The sequence below is a fragment of the Homo sapiens genome, chromosome 7 (genome assembly GCF_000001405.40).
Source record: "Homo sapiens chromosome 7, GRCh38.p14 Primary Assembly".
NCBI classification, from domain to species: Eukaryota; Metazoa; Chordata; class Mammalia; order Primates; family Hominidae; genus Homo; species Homo sapiens.
Window position 1 is genome coordinate 100,185,821 of NC_000007.14, and position 21,488 is coordinate 100,207,308.

At 46.0% G+C, this 21,488-nt stretch overlaps 1 protein-coding gene and 2 pseudogenes across 26 annotated transcripts in view, besides 2 other annotated features; 1 reads left to right on the forward strand and 2 right to left on the reverse strand.

The window, feature by feature from the left end:
• STAG3 (STAG3 cohesin complex component) overlaps positions 1–21,488 on the forward strand; it is a 41,611-nt gene that overhangs the window by 8,097 nt on the left and 12,026 nt on the right. For 14 of the 23 annotated variants that reach the window (XM_017011685.2, XM_047419788.1, NM_001282716.1 and 11 more), the window contains exons 5-29: positions 380–476; positions 2,633–2,709; positions 2,992–3,196; positions 3,625–3,776; positions 9,489–9,562; positions 11,336–11,459; positions 11,958–12,056; positions 12,267–12,346; positions 12,655–12,762; positions 13,023–13,137; positions 13,442–13,547; positions 13,721–13,824; positions 14,416–14,508; positions 14,633–14,722; positions 14,949–15,149; positions 15,270–15,340; positions 15,444–15,531; positions 15,966–16,046; positions 16,129–16,221; positions 16,352–16,520; positions 16,634–16,770; positions 18,201–18,302; positions 18,807–18,955; positions 19,185–19,313; positions 19,407–19,564. In XM_017011685.2, the coding sequence (XP_016867174.2) occupies positions 380–476; positions 2,633–2,709; positions 2,992–3,196; positions 3,625–3,776; positions 9,489–9,562; positions 11,336–11,459; positions 11,958–12,056; positions 12,267–12,346; positions 12,655–12,762; positions 13,023–13,137; positions 13,442–13,547; positions 13,721–13,824; positions 14,416–14,508; positions 14,633–14,722; positions 14,949–15,149; positions 15,270–15,340; positions 15,444–15,531; positions 15,966–16,046; positions 16,129–16,221; positions 16,352–16,520; positions 16,634–16,770; positions 18,201–18,302; positions 18,807–18,955; positions 19,185–19,313; positions 19,407–19,564 (2,902 nt within the window). The remainder of the gene's footprint in view (positions 1–379; positions 477–2,632; positions 2,710–2,991; positions 3,197–3,624; positions 3,777–9,488; positions 9,563–11,335; positions 11,460–11,957; positions 12,057–12,266; positions 12,347–12,654; positions 12,763–13,022; positions 13,138–13,441; positions 13,548–13,720; positions 13,825–14,415; positions 14,509–14,632; positions 14,723–14,948; positions 15,150–15,269; positions 15,341–15,443; positions 15,532–15,965; positions 16,047–16,128; positions 16,222–16,351; positions 16,521–16,633; positions 16,771–18,200; positions 18,303–18,806; positions 18,956–19,184; positions 19,314–19,406; positions 19,565–21,488) is intronic. The other 9 variants (XM_047419796.1, XM_047419792.1, XM_017011687.2 and 6 more) reach the window with 3 other exon arrangements.
• Positions 1,633–2,435, reverse strand: LOC102724025 (60S ribosomal protein L29-like; annotated as a pseudogene).
• Positions 4,390–4,549: an enhancer, noted in NCBI's record as "active region_26344". NCBI's record gives its function as "activates an Ori minimal core promoter by ATAC-STARR-seq in GM12878 lymphoblastoid cells {active_cell/tissue: GM12878}" and the evidence as "EXISTENCE:reporter gene assay evidence [ECO:0000049][PMID:35858748]".
• Positions 14,183–14,522: an enhancer, noted in NCBI's record as "active region_26345". NCBI's record gives its function as "activates an Ori minimal core promoter by ATAC-STARR-seq in GM12878 lymphoblastoid cells {active_cell/tissue: GM12878}" and the evidence as "EXISTENCE:reporter gene assay evidence [ECO:0000049][PMID:35858748]".
• Positions 14,833–21,488, reverse strand: part of CASTOR3P (CASTOR family member 3, pseudogene) — a 71,580-nt pseudogene continuing 64,924 nt past the window's right edge. For 2 of the 3 annotated variants that reach the window (NR_028040.1, NR_028039.1), the window contains one exon: positions 14,833–16,783. The product of NR_028040.1 is annotated as a CASTOR family member 3, pseudogene, transcript variant 4 (transcript). The remainder of the gene's footprint in view (positions 16,784–21,488) is intronic. The other variant, NR_166147.1, reaches the window with a different exon arrangement.

A 21,488-nucleotide genomic window follows, 5' to 3' on the forward strand; every position in this document is an offset into this window, starting at 1 on the left:
CTTCCTTGAGGATCTGACTCTTTGCAGGACCCAGCTTTATTTAGGTGCCTCCTCTTGGACTACTCGTCTTGGAAAAAGCTTAGGCTCTACCTCCTGTGCTCTGCATTCCATGCAGCCATCTGGATACAAAGTCATAAATCCCCAGGGATTAATGAAACCTTTAGGGCAAAAGTCAGTTTGTTTACCTCCCAGGGTTGCTACTTACACCTCATTTTTGGCCTATATGAAATTTTACCTTTCATTCTAGTTCACCAGTACATTGTGAAAGATGTTTTAAATGTTTTACAGAAGTTTAGATGGTTCAACTGGGAAGATCATATAGGATTTCTATTCTGTCATATTGCCAGAAACAGAAGTCATCTACATTTTTTTTCCCTAGTCTTTGGTAGATGAGTGGCTGGATAGCTACAAGCAAGACCAGGATGCAGGATTTCTGGAGCTTGTTAACTTTTTCATCCAATCTTGCGGATGTAAAGGTGAGGAAACTGCTCCCCCTTTCTAATTCCCAGCCTTTTGTTCCTATGTTATGAAATTCTTTCTCCATTTAGATAAGTAGGATTAGACATTTCCTAAATAAAGGAAGATGGTAAAGCATTAGAAAAATTTTACTTATTTAGGCCGGGCACTGTGACTCACACCTGTAATCCCAGCACTTTGGGAAGCTGAGGCAGGTGGATCACTTGAGGTCAGGAGTTTAAAACCAGCTTGGGAAACATGGCGAAACCCCTACTAAAATACAAAAAATTATCTGGGTATGGTGGCTCATGCCTGTAGAATTGCTTGAACCCAGGAGGTGGAGGTTATAGTGAGCCAGGATAGCGCCACTGCACTCCAGCCTGGGCGACAGAGCCAGACTGTCTTCAAAAAAAAAGAGAGAAAAGTTTCACTTCTTTAACTAAATTTTTTATTGATAAATATGGGAAGTGATCCAGTAGGGAACCATGTTGGTTTAGAGGCAAGACACTTTAGGGAAAAAGAAGTAATCACGCTTATGTTATGGCACAAATTTGAAGACACCCTTTGGTCTTTCTGGATGCAATAATGTTACTCTTTGTTTCCCAGCTACTTTGCCCATATTTCTCCTCTGTAGCTGTGGTACCCCCAGAACTCTTATTGCCATGGCTTCGTTTATTGGGACAGATGGTCTCAGTCAGGTTGTATTATATAAGAAATCAGCATCTGGCTTAGTTTTATTGCTGTCTTTGTTTTGTTTTTTTTTGTTTTTTTTTGAGACAGAGTCTCACTCTGTTGCCCAGGCTAGAGTGCAGTGGCATGATCTCGGCTCACTGCAACCTCTACATCCTGGATTTAAGCGATTCTCGTGCCTCAGCCTCCCAGGTGGCTGGGATTACAGGCGAGTGCCACCATACGTGGCTAATTTTTGTATTTTTAGTAGAGATGGGGTTTCACCAGGCTGATCTTGAACTCCTGACCTCAGGCGATCCCCCTGCCTCGACCTCCCAAAGTGTTGGTATTACAGGCATGAGCCATCGCGCCTGGCCTGTTTTTTGGTTTGTTTTTTTTTTGTCGTTGTTGTTGTTGTTTTTTGGCAGTTTTTCACTGCTTGATTCCTTTTTTTTTTTTTGAAACAAATCCTGCCTCAGGTTTATTTGTACAAATAGTGCAAGGGGACACCAGTCCTGACCTCATGCTGGCAGAGAGAGATCTCTACTCTGAAGCCTTTGTACAGGCCTGGGTACTTTTGGGAGCCTGAGCTGGAACTGAAGGTGGAGGTGCAGCCTGGCCCTTCATTTGATCCTTGGCCTTTGGCTGGCACAGCCTGAGCCCCTTGGCATTGTGGGCACAAGCATGCTTCTCAAGCTTGGGGTGGGCAGTGTAGGCAAGTCGGCTTAACCTCCTTGGGCTTTATGAGGGACTTGATAGCCTCAGCATGTGCACTCATGGCCCTATGGCCCTGGCATTGTTGCCCTGCATCATCTTTTTTTTTTTTTTTTTTGAGACAGTCTCACTTGTTGCCCAGGCTGGAGTGCAGTAGTGCGATCTCAGCTTACTGCAACCTCCGCCTCCCAGGTTCAAGCGATTCTCCTGCCTCAGCCTCCCGAGTAGCTGGGATTACAGGCACCCGCCACTATGCCCAGCTCATTTTTTGCATTTTTAGTAGAGACGGGGTTTCACCATGTTGGCCAGGCTGGTCTCGAATTCCTGACCTTGTGATTCACCCACCTTGGCCTCCCAAAGTGCTGGGATTACAGGCATGACCGACTGCACCCGGCTGGCCTGCATCTTCTTTAGGCCGTTCTTGTTGTGCTTCTTGGCAAAGCACATATTCCTCAGGAATTTGGGTCCATCCGCTTAAGAGATTTGTATCTTTGTGATTGGGGTTTCTTGATGCCATTTCTGTGCAGTTTTCAGCCTGGTTGTGTGAGGTGTGGTTCTTGGATTTGGCCATGTCTACACCATAACCTGTGGCTCCCTTCCTTTGGGTTTTTAGAGAGATTGCCTTATAGCAGATACATGGTTGGATGTTGGCAGACTGTTGACCAGGGGGTCTTCTCATTCCCCACCTAAGCTCTTTGCAGAATGTTTCCTTGCTCATCTTCAGGTATATCTGTAAATGATCAAAGCATCCTGTTATTTTCCTTGTAAGCACCTCATATCCTTCATTCTTTAGGCATTGTGACCCCTGAGATGTTCAAGAAGATGTCCAACTCAGAGATCATCCAGCACCTAACAGAGCAGTTTAATGAGGTGGAAGAAGATGACCAGGATCCTCTTACCCCTCTTATTTCAAAACACAATGCCTATTATCCCCTTCTTTTTGATTCTGTGAAATAGGGTAGCTTTTAGAAGGAGGAATTCAGTCTCTTGGGGGTAAAAGAGATCTGAATATGCCTCTCAAATTGGGGAGAATACCAGGAAATGAGGTATAACAGATATTTTTACTGGACTGTTGAGTTTTGACATCCAAGCCCCTATGACTTCATGGACCTGGTAATAACTTTCCCATCCTTTTCATACATCCTTTTGTAGGACTCGGGGGACTACCCTCTCATAGCTCCAGGTCCATCCTGGAAGAAGTTCCAGGGCAGCTTCTGTGAATTTGTGAGGACATTGGTCTGTCAGTGCCAGTACAGCCTCCTCTATGATGGCTTCCCTATGGACGACCTCATCTCCCTGCTCACTGGCCTCTCAGACTCACAAGTCCGCGCCTTCCGTCACACTAGCACCCTGGCTGGTGAGCATTCATTTTTACTCTGGACATTCTCCTGGGGATTTATAGGACTTTCCTCTGTTCTCTGATTCAGGATCTTCTTTCCTACCTGCATCTTGGCTCTTCACTTCAAGGCCATGCCTCTTTTATCCTAAACTTCAATCCAGTTTCTCACTAGTGGAGTTTTGAGAAGGGGTAGATCACAGCAACAATTTCCAGGTTTAATATTTTTGTCAGAGCTCACCACTAGGGGTATGCTGATGGTTAAAAGAAGACCACAAGGGTTCGAGGGAAACAGTCCACTCCAGGACAGGCCGTCTTAGGATTTTAGGGTCATCCTGCTCTGACGTCTCATTTTCATTGCCCTTCTTTCCTTCTATTTTTTCCTTCTACTCATCCTCTCTCCTCTGACCTCAGTAATGATTTCTTTATCTCTTTTTCCTTTCTCAAAGCTATGAAACTGATGACCTCCCTGGTAAAAGTTGCCCTCCAACTGAGTGTGCACCAAGATAACAATCAGCGTCAGTATGAGGCTGAAAGAAACAAGGGGCCAGGGCAGAGGGCACCTGAGCGGCTGGAGAGCCTGTTGGAGAAACGCAAAGAGGTGAGGAGTGTTCCCTGCTTCTTCCTTCCCTTTTTCCCAACTTGCACCCACTTCTGCCACAGACCCCCTTATCAGGCCCTGGGCAGTCTTTCAAGATCATGAATAATGGAGTCTGGCAATAGTTTCATAGACCCATCCTGTAAGGGGTCATTACATGCTCATCTTGTTTCTGGGTTGTGGGCTCAACAAATAATGTGTAATTTAGAGTTCTCTCTAATTCCACTTTTGCTCAGTTTTTTTTTTTTTGTCAGCACTCATTGTTAGGAGTGTTTAAGTGCTGTACCTGCCTGTCATGCAGGGAATTAAGTTTTGACCTACTTGTCAAGTGTGCAGTGTGCAAGTGAGTGCAGGAGTACTAAAAGCCAACCATTGACAAGGGAGGCCAAATTTTCAAGGAATGGAAAGAAAACAGGCCTCCCAGTGAACTCGCTTTAAATTCTGTTGAATTTAGTCACTAGCTCCATAGCCTTATGTAACCTCTCTTCAGTTTTCTTTTCTTTAAAAAAAGGAATAATCTCACCTTTTTGTGAAGAATAAATGAGATGAGTAAATTGCCTCGCTTGGCTCATAGTAGATACTTGTTTTGTTTCCTTTTAAACTTAAAGATGACCACTGGGGGGCATAAGCCATAGCAAAATCTTTTACGCTGATGAAATCTTTAATCAGCTGGGTCTGTCATAAGAGTAACACTACTGGTGTTTTCTCCTCACTCTCTGTTAGTGTCTAAGACCCCTCCTATGAGGTTGGCAGGACTCACCATGTCTGACCATATCATTTGGCTGTTTCTCTAGCCCTCACAAAAGATCTCTTCCATTCTAAATCACTAGAGAAGGAAACTTTCCACTTCCCTTATTCTCTTTTGTTATTTTGCATTGTCAGGTTGATCTTAAAAGCTTGAATATTAATCTATCCCGGATTTTAAATTATGTACACTAGTGCGAATCTTTTCTTTTCTTTTTCTTTTTTGGCTTCTCTGGGCTCTTGCTTAATCAATTATCATTATAATTCCCCCATTTTATCCTAAATTTCTTCCTCCCCACTATTTTCTTCTCTCCACTTATAAATGTATATAGGCTCTTGAATCTTTATTTCACTCTGCTCCTTTGTGAGTTACTCTTTTTTCCATCCTTCCTTTTAGGATAGTATTTCCTTACTTCCTTAATGTCCAACTAACTGAATCCTTTTTGCTACCTAGCTTATTTCCCCATTTTCTTTGAAACTGTTCTTTCTAAACCAATGACTTCCTAATTCCTAAAGCCAGTAGCCTTTTCTCAGTCTCCCTTTCCCAAATATTTTACATATTTGCTTTACCTATTTTTGCTATTTTAGTGTAAAATATGGACATATAGGTACTTCAGCCCTAAAGACTTAAGTATGTCCTGTCGAAAATGATATGTTGTTCTTACATAATTGAAGAGGTGGGGCCTGTTGTCTTAAAGGATGTTCCCTTTCTCCTTATAATTCTGTTTCCTTGGTGTCTATTGTTCATGTGATCCAGGATTTTTCAATAATGGCACTATGGACGTTGCGGGGCTGTCCTGCCATGGTAGGATGTTTAGCAGATCTCTGGCCTTTATCTACTAGATAGATACCAGTAGTACCCTGCTCCCCCAGCAAGTTGTGGCAGCCAAAAAAATCTTTAGACACTGCTAAATCTCCCCTGGGGAACAAAATTAGCCTCAGTTGAGAACCACTGATCTAATTCCTTTCTTCTCATTTTTGCTAGTTCCACTTCTATTAAACTGCAACTTACTAAAAATTTGTTTTCCAAATTGTTAGAAACATATACGGGCATCATACCTCAAAGATATTGCAGATTCAATTCCAGACCACCATAATAAAGTGAATATTGAAGTACAGTGAGTCACACAATCAAAAAATCAAAATTTTTAATTCTCAGTGCATATGAAAGTTGTGTTTACACTGTAGTCTGTTAAGTGTGCAAGACTATTGTCTAAAAAGCAGTGTATGTACCTTAATTTAGAAATATTTTATTGCTAAAAAATGCTAATGACAATCTGAACCTTTAGCGAGTTAAATCTTTTTGTTGGTGGAGGGTCTTGCCTCCATGTTGATGGCTGCTGACTGATCAGGGTAGTGGTTGCTGAAGGTTAGGGTGGCTGTAGCAATTTCTTGAAATAAGACAACAGTGAAGTTTGCTGCATCTACTGACTCTTCCTTTTACAAAAAATTTCTCTGTAACATGAAATGCTGTTTGATGACATTTTACCCACAGTAGAAATTCTTTCAAAACAAGAGTCAATTCTCTCAAGCCCTGGTGCTGCTTTATCAGCTAAATTTAGGTAATAGTCTGAATCATTTGTTGTCATTTCAACAGTATTCACAACCTCTTCACCAGGAATAGATTCCATTTCAGGAAACCACTTTCCTTGCTCATTCATAAGAAGCAATTCCTTATTTGTTCAAGGTCATGAAATTGCAGCAATTCAGCCACATCTTCAGTCTCTACTTCTAGTTCTCTTGCTATTTCCACTGCACGTGTAGTTTACTTCCTCTACTGAAGTCTTAAACCTCTCAAAGTCATCCGTGAGGGTTAGAATCAACTTAACTCTTGTTAATGTTGATATTTTGACCTCTTCCCATGAACCACAAATGTTCTTTATGGCATTTAAAATGGTGAATCCCGGCCAGGCACAGTGGCTCACACCTGTAATCCCAGCACTTTGGGAGGCTGAGGCAGGTGGACTACGTGAGGTGAGGAGTTTGAAACCAGCCTGGCCAACATGGCAAAAACCCATCTCTACTAAAAATACAAAAATTAGCTAGGTGTGGTGGTGCTGCTTGTAATCCCAGCTACTTGGGAGGCTGAAGCAGGAGAATTGCTTGAACCCAGGAGGCAGAGGTTGCAGTGAGCCAAGATTGCGCCACCACACTCTAGCCTGTGCTATGGAGCAAGACTCCATCTCAAAAATAAATAAAATAAAATAAGATAAAATGGTGAATCCTTCCCGGACGGGGGGTTGAGTTTTTCTGGTTTTGTTTTTTGTTTTGAAGACAGGGTCTCGCTCTGTTGCCTAGACCGGAATGTACTGGTGCAGTCATGGCTCACTGCAGCCCCAACCTCCTGTGCTCAAGTGATGTTCCTGCCTTATCCTTCCAAGTATCTGGTACTACAGATTGCATACCACATCTGGCTAGTTTTTGTTTTGTTTCTGTAGAGACAGGGTCTCACTGTGTTGCCCAGGCTAGTCTTGAACTCCTGGGCTTAATCAGTCCTCCCACCTCAGCCTCCCAAAAAGTTGGGATAGTAGGCATGAGCCACCATGCCTAACCCCAGGAGGTTTTAAATGGACTTTGCCCAAATCATCAGAGGAATCACTGTGGCAGCTATAGCCTTATGAAATGTATTTCTGAAATAATAAGACTTGAAGTTGAAATTACTCCTTGTTTCATGGGCTGCAAAATGGATGTTGTGTTAGTGGGCATGAAAAAAGCAACATGGATCTCCTTGTACATCTTCACCAGAGCTCTTGGGTGACCAGGTGCATTGTCATTGAGCGGTAATATTTTGAAAGGAATCTTTTTTTCTGAGCAGTAGGCCTCACCCATGTGCTTAAAATATTCAGGAAACCATACTGTGAACAGATGTGATATCAGTTAGGCTTTGTTGTTTCATTTATAGAGCATAGGAAGAGTAGATTTAGCATAATTCTTAAGGGCCTTAGGATTTTTAAAATGGTAAATGAGTATTGGCTTCAACTTAAAGTCAGCAACTGCATTAGCCCCTAACGAGGAGTCAGGCTGTCCGTTGAAGCTTTGAAGCCAGGCATTGACTTCTCCTCAATAGCTGCGAAAATCCTAGATTTTCCAATATAAGGCGTTTTCCAATTATAAGGCAGTTTAGTCCACATTGAAAATTCATTGTTTAGTGTAGCCACCTTCATCAGTGATCTTAGCTAGATTTTCTTGATAACTTGTTGCTTCTCTATCAGTATTTGCTGCTTCACCGTGTACTTTTATGTTATGGAGAGGGCTTCTTTCCTTAAACCTCACGAACTAACTTCTAGCTTCAAACTTTTCTTCTGTGGCTTCCTTACTTTGCTCAGCCTTCATAGAATGGAAAACAGCTAGGACATTGATCTGGATTGGGCTTTGGCCAAAGGGAATGTTGTGGCTGGTTTGATCTTCTGTTCGGACTACTAAAACTGTCTCTGTATCAGCAATAAGACTGTTTAACTTTCTTACCCTTTGTGTGTTCACTGGAGTAGCATTTTTAATTTCTTTCAAGAATTTTTCTTTTGCATTCATAACTTGGCTGTTTGGCACAAGAGGCCTAGCTATCGATTGGCCTGTCTTGGTTTTCAACTAAGCTTAATCATTTCTTTTTTTTTTTTTTTTTTTTCTTTTTCAGACGGAGTCTCACTTTGTTGCCCAGGCTAGAGTGCGATGGCGTGATCTTGGCTCACCACAACCTCCATCTCCTGGGTTCAAGTGATTCTCCTGCCTCAGCCTCCTGAGTAGGTGGGGTTATAGGTGCCCGCCACCGCACCCAGCTAATTTTCTGTTTTTAGTAGAGACGGGGTTTCGCCATGTTGGTCAGGCTGGTCTCGAACTGACCTCAAGTGATTTGCCCACCTTGGCCACCCAAAGTGCTGGGATTATAGGTGTGAGCCACTGCACCTGGCCTCTAAGCTTAATCATTTCTAGCTTTTGATTTAAAGTGAGAAACATGTGACTCTTCCTTTCATTTGGACACTTAAAAGGGTTATTAATTGACCTAATTACAATATTTTTGTGTCTCAAGGAATGAATAGGGAGGCCTGAGGAGAGAGAGAGAGACAGAGAAACTCTTGTTGGTAGAGTAGTCAGAACACAGACATTGTTAAGTTTGCCATCTTATATGGGCACGGTTTGTGGTACCCCAAAACAGTTACAGTAGTAACATTAGGCTGGGTGTGATGGCCCATGCCTGTAATCCCAGCACTTTGGGAGAGTGAGGTGGAAGGATCGCTTGAGCCCAGGAGTTCAAGACCAGCCTGGGCAAACATAGGGAGAGCCCGTCTCTACAAAAAAAAAAATTTTTTTTAACTAGCTGGGTGTGGCAGCATGCATCTGGACTCCCAGCTAGTTGGGAGGCTGAGGCAGGAGGATTGCTCGAGTCCAGGAGGTGGAGGCTGCCGTGAGCCATGGTCACACCACTGTACTCCAGCCTGGGTGCCAGAGTGAGACCCTGTCTCATAAAAAAATATGTAACATTAAAGATTACTGATCACAGATAACCATAACAGATACCATAATGAAAAGGTTTGAAATATTGTGAGAATTACCAAAATGTGCCACAGGGACACAAAGTGAGGATATACTATTAGAAAAATGGCACTGATAGGTATGCTCAATGCAGGGTTGTCACACACCTTTAGTTTGTTTAAAAAAAATCCACAATGTCTGCAAATCAATAAAGTGCAATAAAGCGAGATACACCTGTATAATGCCAGCTAGGGCTTCTGAATAGTCCGAATAACCACATGCAGAGGGGTTATTATTTTTACTAAACACAAACCTCTGAGGCATTAGTTGACTATACAGCTTCTTCCAGAATTAGAAGGTTTAAAAGAGAGCATAGGATTACGGGGGTTCACACTATCCTATAATAAACAGGAAGTAGGTGGAAGTTGTAGTTTTTCTGTATCTTCAGGGCCTTATGCTTGTTAGGGTACAAGAAAGATTAACCCGTTTCTCCCTGTCCTCCAGCTCCAAGAGCATCAAGAGGAGATTGAGGGGATGATGAATGCCCTCTTCAGGGGTGTCTTTGTTCATCGGTACAGGTGAGCTAATGGGCCTCTCTCATTGAAGCAGCTGGCCTTTGGTTATGGAATCTGAGGAAGTGAATAAGGTTTTCCCCCCTCCAACCCTTAGTTATTTGGTTAGTCCCAGAATTAATGCAGCTGGAGCAAAAATTCTTGACAACAAATGTTTCAAATTGGTGAGGTTTAGTTTATCACCACCTACAAAGGATCTTGTAAGTGCTTCTGGGAGAAAATAAGAGAATAAAGCATTGCTGAGTATTTTCCTGCTCTGGCTTTGCCCCAGATCTGCCCCAACTCCTCATCTTTCTGGGGTTGGAGACTTGAGGATAAGAGCAGAGAATAGAAAGGCGGGGCTTTTCTGAGGGATGCCTGCTGCCTGGTGAGCCTTCTCCTGGCCCAGCCTGCTGTCTCACTGTGCGAAGGGCAGGGGAGTTTTATACTGTTTAATGACCTGATCAAATTAAGTTAAAAAGAATATATGTAGGCCGGGCGTGGTGGCTCACGCCTGTAATCCCAGCACTTTGGGAGGCCAAGGCAGGCAGATCACCTGAGGTCAGGAGTTCACAACCAGCCTGACCAACATGGAGAAACTCCATCTCTACTGAAAATACAAAATTAGCCGGGTGTGGTGGCGCATCCCTGTAATCCCAGCTGCTCAGGAGGCTGAGGCAGGAGAATCGCTTGAACCCAGGAGGTGGAGGTTGCGGTGAGCTGAGATGACGCCATTGCACTCCAGCCTAGGCAACAAGAGTGAAACTCCATCTCAAAAAAAGAAAAAAAAGAAAAAAAAAATTGTAGATGTTTCTCACTCTTACCTAGGTTTCACTTCTGCCTCTCCAGAGCCTTTCAGCTGATGTAACCTTTTCTTAATGTGGAATTAAAACACACTCACACACTTTGGCCAACAGTTGAATTAACTTTTTTTTTTTTGGCAGGGACGGAGTCTCACTGTGTTGCCCAGGCTGGAGTGCAGTGGTGCGATCTCGGCTCACGGCAAGCCCCACCCCCCGGGTTTAGGCGATTCTTCTGCCTCAGCCTCCCAAGTAGCTGGGACTACAGGCGCCCACCACCATGCTTGGCTAATTTTTGGCCACCATGCCCAGCCTGAATGAACTTTCAAAATTGGTTTTTAAAAGAGGTATGGAGACCGGGTGCAGTGGCTCACACCTGTAACCCCAGCACTTTGGGAGGCCAAGACAGGCAGATCACTTGAGGTCAGGAGTTCGAGACCAGCCTGGCCAACATGGCAAAACCCCGTCTCTACTAAAAATACAAAAAGGAAGCTGGGCGTGGTGGTGCACCTGTAATCCCAGCTACTCGGGAGGCTGAGGCAGGAGAATCACTTGAACCCGAGAGGTAGAGGTTGCAGTGAGCTGAGATTGTGCCGCTGCACTCCAGCCTGGGCAACAGGTGGAGTGGAGAATTAGGCTGTACAAGGCTGGTGTTTAACTATTTTATGGTTTGGTAACAGAAAGAAAATATTTACTAACTGGGTATGGCACATTTTTGTAGTCCTAGCTACTTGAGAGGCCAAAGTGGGAAGATGACTTGAACCCAGGAGTTCAAGGCCAGCTTGGGCAACATAGCAAGAGATCCTATCCCTTAAAAAAAATATTTACATGTATTTTACTATATATATAGTATTTACATCGGGAGGAAGAAATGAAAGGCATGGGGTACATGGCATTTCAAGAAAATAAATTCTTCCATGAGAGGGAGTTATCTGGTAGGATGGAAAGTGAGTTTGGAGAGAGGGTGGCTCTAAGAGTCAACTTATCTGTCTGTGTCTAGGGATGTCCTTCCTGAGATCCGTGCTATCTGCATTGAGGAAATTGGGTGTTGGATGCAAAGCTACAGCACGTCTTTCCTCACCGACAGCTATTTAAAATATATTGGTTGGACTCTGCATGATAAGGTGGGATTCGAGTCAGTTTCCCTTTCCGTTTCCTTCATCTTTTTCCTGTCCTAGGACATTTCACCTTTTCCTGGGCCTGCCACTGAGATATTTTACCTAGTGACCAATGATGAACCCATCAAGGCGCTGAACCTTGAAATTCCCCTAGCACTGGGGAGAGTAGGATAAGGTAGAGAGAGACATACCCAGGAGATGAAATGACTCAAAACCTGAGGTACGGGGAGAGAGACTTTCCCATGGAAGAGAGTTATTGATGGATGGTAATGCAGGTGCTAAGGGGCAGCCAAAGGATCCTTCTCATCATGAGTACTGCTGTGATCCTTTTGTTTTTTAAGTAAGAAGACAGCTGTTCATTGTTTCTGACATCTTAAGAGTCCTCAGTAGAGGGGACACCCAAGCTAGAATGAGGGATCGGAGAGGGGAGTCTGGAGGCTTAGTAGGGGCGAGTAGAGTGTGGTTAGTCTTATTTCCATTCTCCTGGTTTTCCCTCCTCACCAGCACCGAGAAGTCCGCCTGAAGTGTGTGAAGGCCCTGAAAGGGCTGTACGGTAACCGGGACCTGACCACACGCCTGGAGCTCTTCACCAGCCGCTTCAAGGTAAAATGGGTGGTGCTCCATGGCTTGGCTCTTTGTCGTGGTTCCTATTTCCCCACCTTGTATCTTTCTACCCCTCATGCTCTAAGATGTCTTGGCTATCCCAGCATCTGCCTCTACGTAGGCACTCTCTTTAGGAGTCTCTGATTCTAAGAGAACAGAATGTTTGGAATGGGTGTAATGAGATATTGAGTGACTTTCTCCTTTCTGCAGGACCGGATGGTTTCCATGGTCATGGACAGAGAGTATGATGTGGCAGTGGAGGCTGTCAGATTACTGATACTTATCCTTAAGTGAGTCCTGGGAAGAGGGGAGGCCAGTGTCTCAGACCTTTGCCCTTCCAGGGTCATCTCCCTCCACCTGTCATAGCTGACTCTTCCATCTGTGCAGGTTGACTGAGGTCATTCCTGAGTTGCAGTATGTTGAGGGGGTAATATTTCTGTCTTCTCTAACTCCCCATACTCCTTTGTCTTCCGCTCTTCATTTAGAAGTTTTTTGTGAGTTATGTCCTTGTTGCTTTTGCCTCTTTTTGTTTCTAGCCTTGGTTGTGCCAGAAGACAATGTCCCTATTCACATACTCTTTCTGCTTTTCTGTGGGCAGGAACATGGAAGGGGTGCTGACGGACGCGGATTGTGAGAGCGTCTACCCAGTTGTGTATGCCTCTCATCGAGGCCTGGCCTCTGCCGCAGGCGAATTTCTGTACTGGAAGTGAGTGGGGCTCCTTTTATGTTTCTTTAACACCACGCTCTCGGTTTCTCTCCTCCATCTGCTGCTGCCCTACCTAAGGCTTCCCCATCTCTGTGAAAGTCTCCCTGGTGTCTCCTTTCTTCTCGCAGCTCCTTGGGGCTTTCCTTAGCTCTCACCTCCTTTTCCTTTATCATCTCCTTGGGCCATCTCCTCCCTCTGTGGTCGTTACACCTCCTTGTTTCCTGTTGTGCTGAGCCCTTTCCTCGTGTCCATTCCACCAGACTCTTCTACCCTGAGTGCGAGATAAGAATGATGGGTGGAAGAGAGCAACGCCAGAGCCCAGGCGCCCAGAGGACTTTCTTCCAGCTTCTGCTGTCCTTCTTTGTGGAGAGCGAGGTGACATACACAGAGAGAAGTCTGGCTGTTGTGCATAGGACCTACAAGTGGGCTGGGGTTGGTGGCTCACGCCTGTAAGCCCAGCACTTTGGGAGGCTGAGGTGGGAGGATCCTTTGAGCCCAGGAGTTTGAGACCAGCCTGGGCAACACAGTGAGACCCTGTCTCTATCGAAAAAAAAAAAAAGACAAATGGAGAAGGATGGGAGTGGACACTGTAGGAAGGAGAGCGATATTTAATCAGTAACCACTTCGTAGGGTATTTTTAACATGCTATCATTAACTCCCCATGCACGTTCTCCCCTAGCTCCATGACCACGCTGCTTACTTAGTAGACAGTCTGTGGGACTGTGCAGGGGCTCGGCTGAAGGACTGGGAGGGTCTGACAAGCCTGCTGCTGGAGAAGGACCAGAGTACGTGTCACACGGAGCCAGGGACAGGGACCTTCCACCCCCTAGGGTGAAACTGGGAGGGATTGCTTGCTTCACTTGTACAAGGCAGCAACGGTGGCATCGGGTGGGGGGAGCTTGGAGTTGGAAGGTGGCTAATCTTTGATTCTATGTTTTTGATCCTCCTGGCACTCCAGACCTGGGTGATGTGCAGGAGAGCACACTGATAGAAATCCTTGTGTCCAGTGCCCGGCAAGCTTCAGAGGGGCACCCGCCTGTGGGCCGGGTCACTGGGAGGAAGGTATGGTGTGAGGGTAGAGTGGGTAGGTCAGCAATACTCAGTCTTGACAGGCAATGTGCATCCTTATCCCCCAGGCTGGGGTTAGGGTGCTCCTTCTACCCTTTAAAGAATTTCATTTCCAGAAAAAAGGGCCAGGCGCAGTGGCTTACGCCTATAATCCCAGCACTTTGGGAGGCTGAGGCAGGCAGATCACGAGGTCAGGAGATCGAGACCATCCTGGCTGACACAGTGAAACCCTGTCTCTACTAAAAATACAAAAAAAAAAAAAAAAATTAGCTGGGCGTGGTAGCGGGCACCTGTAGTCCCAGCTACTTGGGAGGCTGAGGCAGGAGAATGGCGTGAACCTGGGAGGTGGAGCTTGCAGTGAGCCAAGATCACGCCACTGCACTCCAGCCTGGGTGACAGAGCGAGACTCCGTCTCAAAAAAAAAAAAAAAAAGGAGTTTCATTTCCAGAAAAAAGAAATCTCGTGGGAGCTACTGAGTTCTCTTTTCCTTCTAGGCAGATAAGGTCATGGGGAGGAGGACTGCACACACCCCCTGCACCAGTGTTTCTTTACACCTCCCCCACCCCCAAGTGACTCTCATTCCAGGGCTTAACCTCTAAGGAGCGCAAGACCCAAGCCGATGACAGGGTGAAGTTGACTGAGCACCTCATCCCCCTGCTGCCCCAGCTCCTGGCCAAGGTACCGCTGCCCCTCCACTCTGCATCACACCAAGAGAAGTGAAAGGAAATGGCCTCTGTGGGGGTGGGAGTAGGAATTAGCAATGTGTCAGCTTGTAAGGAGGCCTCCCTGTCAATCATCACAGTTCTCAGCTGATGCAGAGAAGGTCACTCCCCTGCTCCAGCTTCTCAGCTGCTTTGACCTCCACATCTACTGCACTGGGCGCTTGGAGAAGGTAGGGAGATAGATTTCCTATACCTTGCTGCTTGCCTGCCAGGGCCAAAGGGTTCTATTGCCAGTATCTTTTTTTCCTAAGAACTTGGGTTCCAGAAAAATCAGCAAGCCTTTTCTTAGGCATCTTATCCTTGAAGTTTAATGCTTTTAACCCCGTTCCACTTCCCGCCAGAAGAGTGTCCTCCTCCCATCCCCACAGCACACCATCTTCTGCCTTTTCTTCTCAGCACCTGGAGCTGTTCCTGCAGCAACTCCAGGAGGTGGTGGTGAAGCATGCAGAGCCAGCGGTGCTTGAGGCTGGGGCGCATGCCCTCTACCTGCTCTGTAATCCCGAATTCACTTTCTTCAGCCGGGCGGACTTTGCCCGCAGCCAGCTAGTAGATTTGCTGACTGACCGCTTCCAGCAGGAGCTTGAAGAGCTGTTACAGGTAGGAGCTGGGGCTGGACAATGGGACACCCCAAACAAGGGTGGGAGGGGCTGCAAGACGGGGGATGTGGACTGATGAGTTCTGGGGGAAATGCTATTGTGGATCTTCTTTCCTTCTCAGTCGTCCTTCCTAGATGAGGATGAGGTATATAATCTGGCAGCCACTCTGAAACGCCTCTCTGCCTTCTACAAGTGAGTGGCTTTCCTCCTCTTCCCCATCCCGTTTTTACTGGTGTCTGTGGAGTTGGTTCCCTCTGTTCTTTTCCAGTATAACATTCCCCTTTCTCCCCCAAAGCACTCATGACCTGACTCGCTGGGAGCTCTATGAGCCATGTTGCCAACTCCTGCAGAAGGCTGTGGACACAGGAGAGGTTCCTCACCAGGTGAGTGGACAGGCTAGAGATGGGTTGGGGGCTGGGGGGCTAGATTTTAAGGACCTACGTTCTAGGTGGCCACTAGGTGTGTCAAGTCTCAGTGCGTGGAGTGGACAAAGCGAGGAAGATCAGGTGGGTGGGGGTCACCTCTTACATTCCTCTCTTAGAAGGTGGACTCTACTTCCAGGGTCTTCTTGGATTTCCTGGAAGCCAAGGATAATATTGAGGGATTCTAGAAGACGTAGAGTAAATTAGGGAGCGGTGACATTTCTACTTCGTGTAGATGCCTCTGAAGAATGTCCAGAATATCACTCATTTTCCACTGGAAAAGGAATTAGCTCTCCCTTTACTCATTTTCTCTCCTCTTCACTGGTGTGTTTCTGGCTATCTGTCTCTCCCTCTCCTAACCCAAACCTCATTTTTCAAACCCTTTGTTGTTACAGGTTATCCTGCCAGCCTTGACTCTTGTCTATTTTTCCATTCTCTGGACACTAACCCACATTTCTAAATCAGATGCTTCCCAGGTGAGTGTGGGTCTTAGATGGGATAATGGGAACAGAGGAGTCTGTGTCTTCATTCTTCCCCTTCAAGCCACTGTGCCCACAGAAGCAGCTGTCGAGTTTGAGGGACAGAATGGTGGCCTTCTGTGAACTCTGCCAGAGTTGCCTCTCAGATGTGGATACTGAGATCCAGGAGCAGGTGAGTACTGACTCAAGTGGGAGCAACAAGGCGAGTATCCCTGCCCCCATTCCAAGGAGAAATTGACAGTGTCATTTCTACCTTGGGAAACATTCTGTCCTTTTAAACATCCTTTCTTTTCCCCCTACAGGCTTTTGTCTTATTAAGTGATCTACTTCTCATCTTTAGCCCTCAGATGATTGTTGGGGGCCGTGATTTCCTTAGGCCACTTGTCTTTTTTCCTGAAGCTACTCTCCAGTCTGAGCTAGCCAGCTTCCTCATGGACCACGTCTTCATCCAGCCGGGAGACCTGGGCAGTGGTGCAGTGACTCTATACCTGGGGCTCAGTAAGGGCTGGGGCTTGGGTGTAGCTCAGAAATATAGGGCAGGAAGCTTAAGTCTGTGATTCCCTTTTGCCTTCCATGTGAGCCAGGTGATTCCCAGGAGGATCATTTACAGATAGAGCGGCTACACCAGCGGCGCCGCCTCCTAGCCGGGTTCTGCAAGCTGTTGCTTTATGGGGTGCTGGAGATGGATGCAGCCTCAGATGTTTTCAAACACTACAACAAGGTACACCAAGGCCCTACAGAAATAAAAGAGAAGGGAGCAAGTTGAGCACAGCCATGACTTGGAAACATAATAGCACTACAGGTGGGGGATATCCAATGGTTTCAAGCTTAAAGGAGAAGTAGGAGGGAAAGGCACTGGGAGTTCAGAATAAGGGGACAAAGAAAAGAGACTTAATAGTAAATAATTATGGAGAAAAAGCTGTGAAGAAATTCACTGGAGGGGAAATAGCTTATTCTTCCTGTCCAGAAATATTTATTTTTCTCTGACCCCAGTCTATGGAATGGGGTAACATAAGAAGGAAAAAAGAATAAAAGAGGGATCAGTCCTCACAGGATACCTAGATAGGTGCCCCAGTTTCCTCAACCCACCAGTATTGATTTATGCTTATTGAGCACCTGCTGTGTGCCAAGCACCATTCCAGGAGCTAAGGCCACAGCAGTGAACAAAACACACAAGTTCCTATTTGGTGGAGCTTCCATTGTAGTTGGGGAGAGACAAATAGTGAAGGTGTCAGTGCTGTGTGAGAGGGCACTGTCAGGCTTACTTCTCTTCTCCAAGAATTGGGCTTGGGGCAGTGTTTATTTCTTTTCTTTTCTTTTTTTTTTTTTTTCCTGAGACAGATTCTAGCTCTGTCGCCAGGCTAGAATGCAATGGCACTATCTCGGCTCACTGCAACCTCTGCCTCCCGGGGTTCAAGCAGTTCTCCTGCCTCAGCCTCCCAAGTAGCTGGGATTACAGGCATGCGCTGCCACGCCCAGCTAATTTTTATAGTTTTAGTAAAGACAGGGTTTCACCATCGCCAGGATGGTCTTGATCTCCTGACCTTGTGATCCGCCCAACTTGGCCTCCCAAACTGCTGGGATTATAGGCGTGAGCCACCATGCCTGGCCTGTTTCATTATTTGTTTTTTATTTTATTTATTTATTTATTTATTTATTTTTTGAGACGGAATCTCGCTCTGTCGCCCAGGCTGGAGTGCAGTGGCGTGATCTCGGCTCACTACAAGGTCCGGCTCCTGGGTTCACGCCATTCTCCTGCCTCAGCCTCCCGAGTAGCTGGGACTACAGGCACCCACCACCACGCCCGGCTAATTTTTTGTATTTTTAGTAGAGACGGGGTTTCACCGTATTAGCCAGGATGGTCTCGATCTCCTGACCTCGTGATCCACCCGTCTTGGCCTCCCAAAGTGCTGGGATTACAGGTGTGAGCCACTGCACCCGGCCTTATTATTTGTTTACCGAAACTCTGATTTATTTTGGGCTTTGCACCTGTTGATTAGAGATGAAGTCTAGTCTGAATTATTTTATGCTTCAGTTCATGTTTCCTACCTAAGGGAGTTTGGGAGGGAGACATGATTAGGGATGTGAAGGAAGAAACCAAATGGTCTTTTCCACCAGTCAGACATTACCTTCCCCACTCTTTCCCCTCAGTTCTACAATGACTATGGTGACATTATCAAGGAAACATTAACTAGAGCAAGGCAGATTGACCGAAGTCATTGTTCCCGAATCCTGCTGCTGAGCCTCAAGCAGGTGCGCCCTTCTGCCTTGAGGACATGCCAGCCCTGTTGTCCCCAAGTCTCTGTCTACCCTCAGCCACTCAGAATGTAAGATCCTTCAGAGCAGTAACTTTTCTTGTTTTGACTCTTAACTTTACGTGATAGGTTCCTTCATTCTTAGTAGACCCTTGGGAAGTATTTTTTTTTTAACTGACTGGGCAACCCCATCAAAAGTAACTTATCAGGACATTGGAACGCCAACAAGGAAGTGATAGGGAGTTCCTAATTATTTTTCAGTCTGTTCTCTCTCAGCCTCCTTCAGTTACTATAGACGTTTTTATTTAATGTTATGGAGTAGAGGTGATTGGCTTTGTTTGCTGCAGGGGTATCGGGAGTTCCCTAGAAGGAAGGAAAGAGTAAAAGTAGTAGATGGTGTCCCAAGGCCTTTGGAATTTCTGAGTAGAGAAGAGAATGCTGGACTTCTCTGTTTCCGCCGTGTTCCTCCCTTTCCCACATGCACCATGTCTCCTGGACACAGCTGTACACAGAACTGCTGCAGGAGCATGGGCCCCAGGGCCTGAATGAGCTTCCTGCCTTCATCGAGATGAGGGACCTGGCCCGGAGGTTTGCCTTGAGTTTTGGACCCCAGCAGCTGCAGAACCGTGACCTCGTGGTCATGCTACACAAGTAGGAAGTATTGGTTGCAGGTTGTGTCCAGGGAGGGCTGGGAACGAGGTCTTGGAGGGAGGTCTCGGAGGGAGGGTATGTGTGTCAAGGCATAGCAGTCAGGTTAGGGGTGGGTATGCCTTTGGAGACAAGCTGGGGACGGGGGGAGGGTGCATTTGGACAGGATAGCTCAGGCCTGGGAGGGAAGTGGGAAGAGACTTTCTTCCTAAAATAATTCTGCCCAACCAAGGGAAGGCATCCAGTTCTCCTTGTCTGAGCTTCCTCCAGCTGGCTCCTCCAATCAGCCTCCAAATCTGGCATTCCTGGAGCTCCTTTCAGAGTTTTCCCCCCGACTCTTCCATCAGGACAAGCAGCTTTTGTAAGTTGGTGGGTGGATAGAGATGTGGATTAGGGAAGGGCCTGCTGAGGGCCCAGTAGCCCCTTCAGGCTTTTGGTTCTACCTCTTTCATAGACTGTCCTATCTAGAAAAGTGCCTGCAGCATGTCTCCCAGGCACCTGGCCATCCCTGGGGCCCAGTCACCACCTACTGCCACTCCCTCAGCCCTGTGGAGAACACAGCAGAGACCAGCCCTCAGGTCCTCCCCAGCTCCAAGAGGAGGCGCGTTGAAGGTAGGGTGCTGTGTGTGGGTATGGGGGTGCCCAGCAGGTGGTCGTTGGCTGCCTGCAAACTTATTTTGTCAAGTATTTCATTGAGCATCTACTGTCATTCAGGGTATTAATTTCTTTCAAGGTTTATCTAGTCAACTGAAAACCTGTATTAAAAATCAAATAGAGGGCCAGGTGTGGTGGCTCATGCCTGCAATCCCAGCACTTTGGGAGGCCGAGGCAGGCGGCTCACGAGGTCAGGTGTTCGAGACCAGCCTGGCCAAGATGGTGAAACCCCGTCTCTACTAAAAATACAAAAATTAGCTGGGCATGGTGGCGCGCATCTGTAATCCCAACTACTCAGGAGGCTGAGGCAGGAGAATCACTTGAACCCGGGAGGCGGAGGTTGCCGTGAGCTGAGATTGCGCGACTGCACCCCAGCCTGGGTGACAGAGCGAGACTCTGTCTCAAAAAAAAAAAAAAGAAACTGATGATAAAACCAAATATTGAACTAAGAAATCTATACATTCAGAGTACCCTCCTCAACATCTTGTATTCCATTATTTTCGAAACCTTGGACACTTTTACACAACCTTCATTGTTTTTTACCTTCAGATCACCTGTTGTCTTATAAGTTGCCTAAGGTTTTGTTTTTGTTTTTGTTTATTTTTTGAGATGGAGTCTTGCTCTGTTGCCCAGGCTGGAGTGCAGTGGCGCCATCTCGGCTCACTGCAAGCTCTGCCTCCCAGGTTCACGCCATTCTCCTGCCTCAGCCTCCCGAGTAGCTGGGACTACAGGCACCCGCCACCACGCCTGGCTAATTTTTTTTGAATTTTTGGTAGAGATGGGTTTTCAGCATGTTAGCCAGGATGGTCTTGATCTCCTGACCTCATGATCTGCCTGCCTCAGCCTCCCAAAGTGCTGGGATTACAGGTGTGAGCCACTGTGCCTGGCTGCCTAAGGTTTTTTCTTTGCTTTTTAAAAAACAGCTTCATATTAAGCAACATTGTAGCAATCATTATTTCATATGCAAGTATGTGTTTTCTAGTGTACATTTTTAAATGGGACTTTATGTGACAGCTTTATTGAGATACAACTTACATATCATAAAAATCATTTTTTTTTTTTTGAGACGGAATCTCGCTCTGTCACCCAGGCTGGAGTCCAGTGGCGTGATCTCGACTCACTGCAACCTCCGCCTCCCACGTTCAAGTGGTTCTCCTCCCTCAGCCTCCTGAGTAGTTGGGATTACAGGCGTCCACCACCACCCCCAGCCAATTTTTGTATTTCTAGTAGAGACAGGGTTTCACCATGTTGGCCAGGCTGGTCTCAAACTCCTGACCTTGTGATCTGCCCACCTCAGCCTCCCAAAGTGCTCCCAAAGTGCTGGTGAGCCCCCGTGCCCAGCCAAAAATCACCCTTTTAAAGTGTACACTTAGCATATTCACTGAATTGTACAACCATCACAACTATCTAATTTTAGAACATTTTCATCTTTCCAAAAGAAACCACATACCCATTCGCAGTCTCTGCCCATCTTCCCAGCCTTAGGTAGTATCACTAATATAATTCCTATCTCTTGATTTGCCTACTCTGGACCTTTCATATAAATGGAATCATATAATATGTGGCCTTTTATGTCCAGCTTCTTTCACTTAGTACAGTGTTTTCAACGTTCATCCATACTTTGACATATATCAGTATCTCATACCTTTTTATGGCCGAAACAATATGCCATCGTGTGGATATGCCACATTCTACTTATCCACTTGTCAGTTGATTGACATTTGGGCTCTTTTATGCATAATGCTGCTAAACATGCATGTACACATTTTTGGGTGGATGCATCTTTTCAGTTATCTTGAGATATACCTGGGAGTGGAATTGCTGGTTCGTATGGCAATTCTATGTTTAAGTTTTTGAGGAACTACCACACTGTTTTCCAAAG